Genomic DNA, 13238 nt, shown 5'->3' with positions numbered 1-13238 from the left:
CTGTCAGAAAAAACCAATAATCATATTTGAAAGCCAAGCTGCAATTCTGGACTTCTCTGCTCTTTTTTGTGCATCTGCAAATCTTCTTCTTGAAGTGTTAGTCACGCTCTGATTTCTACTAAATACATCTGGCTCTATAAACTTCACCAGCTGACGCTATGCCTGGGAAAAGGCACAGACTTCTTTGTCTGCAATTTGTAATCTAGAATTTCATCACTCATAATTCACAAAACAAATTGAGCAGGTTGTAAAGACTCACTCAGGCCTCTGAAAGACATCTCCCAGCATCACAGAAACTAGAGAGGCAGCATGTGCAAATACTATTTGCAGGTACAACTTGCCTGTAGTTGTAATATTGCTTAAATGCTGTGCATAAGACATTTCCTCAGCAGGTCTTTAACTTCAACGAAGTGAAGATGGTGAGTCAGAAGGAATACTGAGCCTGTGCTTCTCAAACTTCAGCATGCATATTCATTTTACCTGAGAATCTTGTTAAAATGCAGATTCTGATTTGATAGATATAAGACTGGACCTGAGAACTGGCATTTCTAATAAGCCCTTGGTGATGCTGATGCCGTTCGTCTAAGGACCATATGTTAAGCAGGAAGTTACTAAAGACAAATTCAGGCTTGGATTAAATAAACATTTACAAGTATGCAAAGGTTTTAGGGATTAAAGGGATCTTTGGCCAAAAAAGTTTGGGAACCACTGGGTTAAACTTAAAGTGTTTTCTTTAATGTAGGACTTAAAGTCTTTAACATGATAATATGAATTGTCACTCTTCAAGAGAGCATTATGACATATGAGGTTTCACAAATGTATTGATATTACATCATAAACACTTTCTCTGCAGACCATCTGATGGTCTTGGGTGCTCCTTCAATAGGGCAAGCTGACCATAGAGACTCTTTCCTATCCTAAACTTCTGTTATTCCAAGGGTGCACCCTCAGGGGTTTGACTGTCTTAAAAAAAGAAATTAAACAAGGCAAAACAAAAAAAATAGTCCCAATGTTTTGTACTAATTTTTGCTTCTTTCTGAAAAGGCAGTTTCCACAAATTTTCTCGGCAAGAAGGCCAAGTCTGTACACTCTTGGCAATTTATTGCCTAAGGACAAGGAGAAGTGGGTACATACAAAACTTTGTCACATATAAACTGTGTAAGCAAATTCATTACATCAATGAGCTCACAAATAACGATCAGGTTCTATAATTCACTTTCTCCACATAATGATGCTGTTCACTCTTCTCATTGGCCCAACTAGGAAATCTGAGGCCTATGTCTTATTTCTCTCAGTTACATCCTTCCCTCAGTGTGTCTCTTCCTAGAGACATGACTTTGTTGGACAGCTGGGCTTTTTTAGTTCTTTTTCAGACTGCCAAATTGGTCTATTCCATCAGGGTATTTAAAACAAAAACAGATTTTATGTACTTCCAGTAAGATTAAGAAATTCTGAATGAAGATGGCAAATTTTCTCTTCTGATTTGGACCTTTCTGCTACTCTCACAGATATACTTGGAATACCTGAAGTGCAGTCTTGCACCAAATTATGACATTCTTGTTTAGCTACTTAAGTGCATTGACCTGATGTGCAGGGCTGAAGCTTTCAAAATTGTATTTATTCAAAAAGATAACATTAAGGAATGCTGCTGTAGCTATTCAGTAGACTCTTGTTACTCTTACATTTAATATTTATGGTTTCACAGAAAACTAAACACTACGTGTTCTCTCTTATGAGTGGGAGCTAAACATTGGGTAAAGATGAACACAAAGATGGCAACAGTAAATACTGGGGATTCCAAAAGAGGGTGGGGAGTTAAGGTAGGCAAATTATCTATTGGGCTCTGTGTTCACTATCTGGGCCATGGGATTATTAGAAACCTAAACGTCACCATCATGCAACACATCCATGTAACAAACCTGTACACGTACCCCTTGAATCCAAGAATTTTAAAAAATATATGTATTTATAGTTTCAAATAATCCTGAATAAGCCCAGTGGTTCACTGAATATTTAAAAATGACAAATCTGAGTTCTGCCTCTTGCAAGGATAGTAGGTAGGAGCAGTTTGCTAGATGTGAGAAAGTGGCTAGCTGACTTCCTAGCATCTTGGTCTTATCTCCACCTGATTGTCTCATCTAGATCATTTTGGGAGCTTCTCTCATTTTCATTACAATTCATAGGGCAGGAATTATTACTCAGATTTTACAGGTAAGGAAATTAAGGGCTTTCTCTGTTGTAAAAGTTATAATATGTATTGGAAGTATCCTCACAGCTATCAAGAATCAGCTCCATTAATCAGAATTGCTGCTGTGACCTTAATGAATAATGGAACTTAGGCATATTTCTAATAGGCAAATCCCCTTGTAATAATTTCAGATACAAACTGCTGCTGCTATAGATATTTGAGGACTAAAATCAAGGACAGTCACAAACCCACCACAACATTAAGTCTAGTATAGTTATCTTAAAAAAATTCAAACTTTATAAGAAGATTGGATGTATAAACATTTAAGTTACAAACAAAGTATGCTTTTGAACAGCTGGTTCCATTTCCTGCCATTGCCTCCATGTAAAATCACTATAATAAAAATGCTTCTCTACTTATGTTGGGGCTATGTTCCGATAAACCCATTGTAAGTTGAAAATATTATAAATCAAAATGCATTTATTATACCTAATCTTCTGAGCATCGTATCTTAGTCTGGCCCACCTTAAACATGCTCAGAACACTTACATTAGCCTACAGTTGGGGAGAATTATCTAACACAAAGCCTATTTTATAGTGAAATGTGAATATCTCTCGCAACTTATTGAATACTGTGCTGAAAGTGAAAAGTAGAATCATTGTATGGGTATTTGAAATACAGTTTTTATTGAATGTGTTTCACTTTCCAGCCACTGTAAAATTAAAAAAAATCATAACACAAACCATTGTAAATTCTGGAACCATATATAATCATTAACATTTTTGGATGCTGTTTATTGGTCTGTCCTCGGCTAGTGGCTAAAGACACATTTCTGAAAATATAAGCAGAGTCAGTAAAAAGACTATTCCCATAACAAATGTAAATCCCCTATAAAAGTATTATAAAAGCTGTTAAGCACTCTACAAAGTTCAGAGTCACATGTTTAATTTTCTACACCAAAGACAAGTAAACTTCCATTTTTAACAAATTAAGTAAACAAAGCTTTTAAATCCAGACATCTTATAAACAATCATTACTTACTAACATCAGTGTCAATATTTTAATTTAACATCTTTAATTTTCCACATGATCAGGAACGCTTACATGATCATTAGCTGCAATAATGATGTGAAAATTACATTAATGAGCTTTGGTGAAAACATCCAGGAAATATTTTATATAGACTGAGTTTTAAAAATGGTTCTCTTGGGACTGTAAGAAACCTCAGCTGTTGCCCTCTCCCCTCTGTGTAGGCAGACAATGAAATGGGGTATCAGAAGCATTGGAGAAGAGGGATCATTTCACCCAGTAGAACCAATCTTACTCTAGGATAGTTGGGTTAGAGTCAACAAAGTCATCTGTGTGTTTCAGCCAACCCATGCCTCTAGAGTTTAGTGCTTTAAGAAAATTAGACTACCATTAAATAAGTCCATAAATTCATGGACAAAGGAATTATCCTCATATAAATGTAAATATTTTGATTTTTTATTACAATATAATTTTTCAAAACCCAAATGATCATCTCTGAAAAAATACATAAAATACATAAAAATATATAAGTAATTTATATTAAATGAATAATTTGATAAAGAATAAGAAGGAAAGCTTTTAGAAGGTACTCCATCAGTAGATAAGGGACTGCCATTTTACTCACAACAAATTTCGATAAAATAAAAATTTATGTATAATTGTATATTCATTTCCTAGGCCTGTTTAGGACAAATCTGCATGTTCTGAAGATATTCAAGCACAGAACACATCGCCCAGTGAGTGATGGTGGAGGTGGCCTGAAGGTTGGGCTGGTGCTAGGATTGAATGCAGCTGACACATGATCAGGGAGGCAGAGCCACTTAGAGTGACACAGAATCGGGGATTTTCAGAGCAATTCACTCTTACAAAACTGAGGGAACTGTTGAAGTCCACTGAAGATTGTTGCTGTTGCATCTACTTTTGGGACTTAACTGAACTGTAAATCAAGGTTGGCAGTTGGGAAAGAAAGCTGGACACAAAATGAGAGAGAGGGAGGACAAACTAGACCCTAACTCTGACTTTTACTACTTCCCACCTCAGCAATTCAGTTGGCCCACAGAAGATGCTGGTGATCTTCACCAGGGAACTGTCCTCAAGCCTTGGACTTTTAGAAGTTGAAGGAGGAAATCCAGCCAGAGGTAAAGGACTGCAGACAGCTGCCCTGTGCTAGCCAGGTGACCCAAGATCAGCAACATCCTGTGTGTAACACTTAGGAGTCCTCTTGTTTTCCCACAGATGGGACTGTAGGCTCATTTCAGTTTGCAAGAGGACATCCTGCTAGACTGAATTATTATTCACAAGTACAAGATGGACATTTGGTATCCAAGATGGTATTTGACGATTTTCTCTCTAAAGATTCTCTGCTCAGACATTCTGTCTCCTTACAAAGTACATGGGAGTCCATTGAGAACAGGAATAAAATAGCAAGTCAATTGGAGAATCTGATTAGAATTAGATTGTATATCATTTCATGGGCACTTTTATTATGACATGGCTCTGAAGTGTAGTCATTTGTTTGCCTGTATCTTGAGCTCCCCTAAAAGAGAGAACATGTTCTATTCAACATTGTAGTTGTAGTACAAGGCACTCGACCAATGCAAATATATGAATTTGCATGAATTCACTGATAGTAAATCAATGACACTGTTTTTACCTAGAACTAAAAAAAAAAAACCCTGAATTATTGGTACAACAGAGTCCTAGTGCTAAGATCAAATTTGATTTGTTATATACATATATATGTGTGTGTTATAAATGTGGGTGCGTATGTTATATATGTGTGTGTATACATAATATATACACACACCAGAGACAAAAAATATATAAGTGTATCATGGTGAAACCCTGTCTCCACTAAAAATACAAAAAATTAGCTGGGCATGGTGGTGGGCGCCTGTAGTCCCAGCTACTCAGGAGGCTGAAGCAGAAGAATGGCGTGAACCTGGGAGGCGGAGCTTGTGGTGAGCCGAGATTGCGCCACTGCACTCCAGCCTGGGCGACAGAGTGAGACTCCATCTCAAAAAAAAAAAAAAAAAAAAAAAAAAAAAAATATATATATATATATATATGTGTGTGTGTGTGTGTGTGTGTGTGTGTATACACATATATGTATTTAAAACTACATATATATGTGTTTACAGCTGAAGCGACTCTGTGTGTGTGTGTGTGTGTGTGTGTGTGTGTGTGTGTGTGTATTCTGTCTCTTCAACTGTAAAAGAGACACCATCAAGGACTATTTCCCAAAAGCACTATGCGTAGCATTCACATTCTTCCCTGCCATTTGCAACTATATCTTCTCTAATTTGCCAAGTACTCTTCAGTCAGGCTACCAGGATGATGCTCAGCTCTGTTTGCTTCATTTTCCTGAAAGAGTCTCTAAACAAAACCCTCACATTTCAAAACTTGGCTCAAATCCTTCCATCTCCAAGCAGGTCATTACTATACATGTTAAATCCCATGCTCTGTCTCACACATACCTCCTCCTCAATATCTACAGAATCTTTTACAAGCCCTACTCCTGTGACTGTACATAAACCATGCTCCCTTGCAAACTTACTTTTCCTGTTTAGGGGAATATATATTACCTTCCAAAGGGACAGTAAATTACTTAATGTTAGTGAGCATACCTTTGCACCCCCCGCAGCTAGTGTGACACATCTCTTTGATTTTCAAGGACAGCCTTCAGAATTTTGTTTTATTTAGAAATGACAATTTGATCATATGTAACTAAATCTAATTCAATGTAATATTTTTACATTAAAAAGACTTTTTCTATAAATAATTAGTCTTCTCTCCATCCAGAACTCACTGTGCTATGTATATACATAAGTTATTTTACATCACGCTTCAGATAATCATAAATAAATGCATACAAAGATCAGAAAAATCTCCCTTGTCAGACCAAGTTTTCTCATTATTTTGTTTCTAAAAAATATCATTCAAGTAGTCACAATACCTTGAATTTAGAAGTAACTCAACACACATGAGTCAAACAGAATTTCAAACAAATCACACCTGTGTTTTGGAGATTCCTTAACCTACAGGCTATTTTTAGTGTTCCCTAGGGGAGAGACAGAGTGAAAGAGCAAGTTTCAGAAAAAAGAAAGAAATATATAAACATTGATGAGGAAAGCTGCAGAAGAATACTGGCATGAGAGCAGGGAATAACCTCTGGGATCACTAAGTCCAAAGCCTCCTTTACACCCTGTGGCCAAGAGCAACAACCTACCTAAGGCAAACTGACCACTAGCAGACTTTTACCAGATTCATGGTGTTGCCCTGGATCTTGGTTTTCATTCCCCAGCAGACATTGATATTTTTCTGCCCCACATGAAGGGTAGGATCCCATTACATAAGCAATTCCTATTATGGTGTACAAGACCCTGTTGGTGTCCTACACCATGTCCACCATCTAAGGTGACTCCTGCAGCTTAGGTGCACAGTTCCCACACATGCTGATGTCTTCCTCCCTTACATGCCCAGCCTCTCAGATGGCCCCAAGAGGGGTTGAACCCCAGTTGTTCGTATCAGTGGCCCACTCATCCAAGTACACTTTAATGACCTTTCTCCTTTCTCTGCTTCACTCCCCCTACTCCACTCACTATGGTACCTGGGATCACTTTCAAATAATCCACCTGTATACAAGTGCTTTTCTCAGAGTCAGCTTTTGCAGGATTCCAAATTAAGACCTATGGAAAGGGGCCAAATGCAATAAATTGTCAACATCATTTTCTAGTTCGAACACTTATAATGTTTCCTTCCTTTAAACTTTTTAATGATAATTTTTTAATTCAGGTGTCAAGACTTCTTTTACTACAGAGAAATAAGGTACACATCCAGCTGCAACTAGAGATGCTGAGTAAACCTTAATGCCCTTCCACCTGCCATGTAAGGACTCTGTTTGTTTCATGAATGGGAAAATCAACAGATCAATCAGCAGGGTAAGTTTTGTTCACATTTGGGAAAAGATTTAAAGTAAGCAGTTCAAGCACTATTATGACTCACCCTATTGCATCAAGGACTCCTCTGTGGATAAAATGAACACACTGCTAATATTCACTCACCCATGATAACAATAAAGAATTCTCAGTGTTTCTGAATGGGTGGTTAATTAGCAAGTGAACATTGCTCTAGGGCAGGGCCTCTGGAACTTTCAGGAGCAAACCACTTGCCTGGAGATCTTGTTAAAATGCATATTCTGAGTCAGTAGGTCTGGGTGGGAGCCAAGATGCTATATTTCTAATAAACTCCCAAACATACTTTGAGAGGTAGAGCTGTGAACATGTGCTTTCCCATAAGGCAGCCACTAGCCACATGTGGCTATTTACACTTAAAATGAAATAAAACTAGAAATTCATTTCCTCAGTTACAAAAGTCACATTTCCAATGCTCCACAGCTACATGTGGCTAATGGCTACTATACAGACAACACAGATACAGAACATTTCTAGCAGTGCAGAAAGCTTTGGATAGAATATTAGATTAAACATCAGAGAAATGTTCTCAAGTAATACTTTACATTTCTTTGATTTTTGATTGTTTTAATCTTTCCTTTCTATTTCTCACATTCCCCAATTCTTTCCAACATCCCATGCTGTTTGTGGCATTTTTTCTTCTCTTACGCATTCATACAGGATTCAGAAAGGGAGGGTGTGTCTAAGGCATCTTATAGGTAAACTTCTTTTAAAAGAGCTGGTTGAAATTCCATGGGTCATCAAGACAATGTGCACTTCACAAATCTTATTTCCAAGTTTTTGTTTGTTTGTTTTTTGTTTTTGTTTCTTGTAGAAGATAGTGTGGGGCAATTACATTAAATTTGATATGGCTTATATGTCCTCTTTCCTTAGTATGCTGGCTTAGCAATAATCTTGTTCAATTTTATTATCCCAAATAAAAATATGTGCAGACACCACTCATTTTTTAGTATGACGATTGAGAAAACAGATCTCTTCATTTTCATTAAAAACAGATTCTTTTTTTTTTGTCTTGATAGTGCTCTTCCAATCTACCTTTCAATGAAAATTATACTTTTTTATTGACTCATATAGTCATTTATCTTTTCCACTAGCTGAAAATGCCTTAGAAATATAATACTTGTTTTCTTCTCAGTTAATCTGTTAGAGTTTCAGGAAGTCAGGAGTGGCCATATGATAAACAGGCTTTCTGGAAAATAAAGATATGCCTGAAGTTCAAATACAGCATGAATTGCTTGATTGAAATTAAATGCAATTCAGTTTAGAAAACCACAGATGATGACAGAATATACTGTAGGCAACGCATCCATAGAAGACACCAGAGATGGTGCTAGACCAATTATTCTAGCTCTTGAGTTTTAAAGTCTAATCTGAGACAGTGAAAGTTGCAAAAAATAAAAGATTCAGAATATGTTAAAAAATTTCCCATACCGCAAATAAAGAAAGATCTAGAATTTAGTTGTCTATTGGATGTTCTTTACCTTTGTGGTCAAACAGTGGTAATAGCCTTCTGATATTCATACCTAGCTAGTATACCTGGAAAGGTTCTCTGAAAAGTAGCAAGTAGTGATTGAGTCCACTTCAAGATCTGTAACAAATTCAACGGAATACTTGGCCTATCTCAAATGTTTGATACATTTTGTGTACTTTAATTATCAAAACTGCTGGTGGAAGCAGATTCGGATTTTAAAATGCCTTTACTTGCACTGACAACTTGAAAAAGAAAAATCCAGACTGCTCATTGTTCGTGTTATTAAGTACAAATGTTCACAATTTAAATAAAGCTGGAAGAGCCTCCATATAACAAGGGTTTCCTGTGGCAGCACACCCCATCTTTGTCAACGAAAGGGAAACATTAATACTTGACAATTCTAAATAACAGTAAGGCTGAGGCAAGAAAAACATGTCTGACTTCCTTGTTTATAGTTTAAACATATGTAATATTAAAATAAAAATAATGCAAATTATTAGAAATCAAATCCATAAATGTATATTAAAAATAAAACATTTTCTAGAAAATTCCAAGGTGGTAGCTATGAAAACAAAGTAAACATTAATGTTTGCATAATTATCTACACAATTTGGTCAAAGTCTTTAGCAAATAAAACAAATTTTGGAGCTAGAATTCCCCAGTTAAACCAATTCGCTGGGTAAATTATCTTTTAAAATGTATATTGGTTTTTTTTTTTTTTTGGTCACAGATGATCATGAAAGAAATTTTAGGAAATACTGAAACATATAAAAAGAAAAACAAATTCTTCATTATGCCAAAACCCAAATATAGGCATCGTTAACATGCTGTGTTTCCTCCATGTTGTTTTATTTCCAAAGCACATATCAATATAGCTGCAGCTAGTTTTTAAAAATCAAGGCCAAACCAAATAACTAGATGGACAACTAGATAGACAGATACAGACAACAGCTATATCTTTATAATCTTATAATCTTGATGAGTTGCCCTTCATATGAATCTTCAGGATAACCATGTAAAGCAAGCAGTAGTGCTATCTGCTTTATGGATGAGGAAGCACAAGGAGGTCAAATAATGGACCTGTGTCCTCTATTAGACCATAAAATCCTCTAAGACAGGGCCTAGCTAGTTACTCATCTCTGACTTCCTGCTTCTCTTACTGCATAATTTGATCACATCTTAGATAATCAATGAATGTGAACCTGCTATTGAAATGACAGTCAGATAGAAGAGGAAAATGATGTTTTCTTGTGTAGTGGATGTGATAATTGTTCTCAAATCCTCAGTCCCACCCTCTGGAACCCCACAGTGGGGTCAAGTAGGGGGTTGTGTACATCTCTGCCCACTGATTTGGGGTTAGACCATGTGACTGGTTTTGGCTAACTGGATCCTGGCTATCTGGATCCAAACTCAGCCAGCACACAGCATAACTCACCAGCATATATGTACCTGAACAATAAAATAAATGCATGTTGTTGTAAACTATTGTGCTTGATGGGTTTTGTTATGCAGCTTTACTGTAGCAATAACTAATAATACCTTACAATGTATTCCTCCACATGCAATAACTAGGGTAAGCTGATCCATAATTTTATTATTTATAAGCGTCAATTTCTTTACTGAGGAAATTGTCTTCTTTTTTTTTCTTTTTTCTGAGACGGAGTCTTTGCTGTTGTTGCCCAGGTTGGAGTGCAATGGTGCAATCTCAGCTCACTGCAACCTCTGCCTCCTGGGCTCAAGCGATTCTCCTGCCTCAGTCTCTCAAGAAGCTGGAATTACAGGCATGCGCCACCACACCTGGCTAATTTTTTGTATTTAGTAGAGATGGGGTTTCATCATGTTGGTCAGGCTGGTCTCAAACTCCTGACCACAGGTGATCCACTGGCCTTGGCCTCCCAAAGCGCTGGGACTTCAGGAGTGAGCCACCGTGCCCGGCCAGGAAATTGTCTCCTATTTGAAAGGGTTATGCAGGAAAATGCCTCTGTTTGTCAGGTAGCAGATCCACATGCTCTTCTGCTATTGGGGTCTCTGTATAGACCCCAATAGTTTACACAAATGGAATGCAGGATCTCTATATTTATACCCCAATCTGTGCAACAGAACTTGAAAACAGAAGCCCAATAAAAGTCTACTCTTTCATTGGGTGAACAAAGACTAAAAGAATGAATTTATGATGTACTGACAACAGTTAGGCTGTAATTCTTATAGACAGACCTCTAAATGTTCCCACTCTTGTTTAGGTAGCACTATCTAATAGAATATGTGAGTTATACATATATTTTAAAATGTTCCAGTAGTCACATTTTTTAAAAAGGTAAAGAGGCATGGGTGAAATTAATTTTAACACTAAGATGTATTTAACTCAATATTTCCAATATATTATCATTTCAACCTATTAATAACATGCAAAGGTATTCATGATATATTTTGCATCCCTTTTTTCATACTAAGACTTCAAAATTCACTGTGTATTTTGCACTTACAGTACATCCAGTGTGGACCAGCTACATTTTAAATTTGGCTGCTGGTTAGCACACTGGTGCAGTTTTAGATGATGTGATAAATTGTCTCTTTCAATGTATTAGATTCCTGAGGCTGCCATAACAAATTGCCACATACTTGGTGGTTTAAAAGAACAGACATTGACTCTCAAAGTTTTGGAGATCAAAAGTCCACAATTAAAGTGTCATCAGTGTCACGCTGCTACGGGAGATTCAGGTCCCTGCCTCTTTCAGCCTCTGGTGGTTCCAGGCATTCCTTGGCATTGCTCTAACCTCTGCCTCCATCTTCACATTGCCTCCTCCTCCTCTGTCTGTGTCAAATCTTCCTAGTATGTCTCTTACAAGGACACTTGTCACTGGATTTAGGACACACCTGGGTAATTCAGGATGATCTTTTCCTCTCAAGATACTTAATTATATCTGCAAGGAGCCTTTTTCCAAATAAGGTGTCATTCATAGGTTCTGAGAATTAGGACATGGACATATCTTTTTGGGGACTGCTATTCAACCCATTACAATTAAAAATTACAAATTAACTTAAAAATAAAAAAAAGCAGGTTGCATGGGCCTATGAGTAGAGGCTCACGTGTCAAGTGTGGTTCATGCATCAGGACTTATAACTGGGCATAATACGCACATCAAATTCAATAAAAATAAATTATATAAATTTAATTTAATAATAAAAGGATCGTTTATTAGGTGTTACCATGGAACACTCACTAGAAAGACATAAATGAATAAAAGGATCACTAATCAACTTTTGGTGAGGATGTGGAGAACAAGATCTCTCTTGTACTCTTAATAGGAATGTAGATTAGGGCAACTACTTTGAGAAAATACTTTGCTCTATTGAATATAAGCACACTCTAGGACTCAGCAATTCCACCCATAGGTGTTTGTGTCAGACTCATGTGTTAGGATGTTGAAAGCAACACTCTTTGTCATAGCACCAAACCGAGAACTATACAAAAGACTGTCAATTGTATAATGGATAAATACATTTGGTATATTCATACAATAAAACTCTACACAGCAAAGAAAATGGACAATCTACAGTAACACCCAACAATATATGCATATAATGTTGAGTGAACCAACCCAGAGAGAAAAAAAGCATACACAGTGTGAATTTATTTATAAAAAATTACAGTTTTTATTAGTTCTAATTTTTTTTTAGCTATCAGGAAAATGGATTTATGATCATTTTCCTCAGACTCAACTCATTATCTGCACCACCCAAATAAAAGTGTATTAAATCAGATTCAATGGGGGGACCTCATCCCCCAGCATCTTCTTTCCTGTGACTCTGCTTTAGTTTTCTTCATAGTTCATATCAATTTCTTAAATAATATTATTTATTTGCTTGTTTATTGTCTCCTATTATTGATCCCCACTCTTAACAGAATATACAATCCAGCTGGGTGCAGTGGCTCATGCCTGTAATCTCAGCACTTTGGGAGGCTGAGGTGGGTGGATCACCTGAGGTCAGGAGTTTGGGACCAGCCTGGCCAACATGGTGAAACCCGATCTCTACTAAAAATACAAAAATTAGCCAGGCGTGGTGGTGGGCGCCTGTAATCCCAGTTAGTTGGGAGGCTGAGGAAGGAGAATTACTTGAACCTGGGAGGCAGAGGTTGCAGTGAGCCAAGACCATGCCATTGCACTTCAGCCTGAGCCACAAGAGCGAAACTCCATCTCAAAATTAATAATAACAATAATAATAATAATAATAAAAATAATATACATTCCATATGAGCAGTATCCTTGTCGGTCCTCAGAGATGTCAAATTTCATTCAAGAAAATATCTGCAGACCCCTGATTGCTAATGTTGTTTATGTGGAATGGGAATATAGTCCCCCATAGAAAAGGCTTGTAGCATAGCAAGTTCGAGTTATGGTCTTTAATTCCATCAAGACCCTACTTGTAGAAAGAATGTCATAGGCAGTTGCATGCCATCACAGAAAAGCCCTTTCCTTACCCAGGTAAAGCCTAGATAATACACACTTTCTCTCCCTTAGCCCTGACTTTATGTCCACTGGGTTTTTGCATCTTCAGCTAATTTAGTTGGGAACA

At 37.0% G+C, this 13238-nt stretch overlaps 1 protein-coding gene and 1 long non-coding RNA gene across 3 annotated transcripts in view; both read right to left on the bottom strand.

Annotated features, from left to right (window-relative positions):
* The window catches only part of PLCB1 (phospholipase C beta 1), a 752635-nt gene that overhangs the window by 462559 nt on the left and 276838 nt on the right, over positions 1-13238 (bottom strand). The window lies entirely within an intron of this gene.
* LOC124900459 (uncharacterized) overlaps positions 1-13238 on the bottom strand; it is a 112238-nt gene that overhangs the window by 90164 nt on the left and 8836 nt on the right. The window lies entirely within an intron of this gene.

This window comes from Homo sapiens, chromosome 20 (assembly GCF_000001405.40).
Source record: "Homo sapiens chromosome 20, GRCh38.p14 Primary Assembly".
Taxonomy (NCBI): domain Eukaryota; kingdom Metazoa; phylum Chordata; class Mammalia; order Primates; family Hominidae; genus Homo; species Homo sapiens.
The sequence above is the reverse complement of the archived record's forward strand: the minus strand, read 5'-3'. Positions and strand labels throughout refer to the sequence as shown.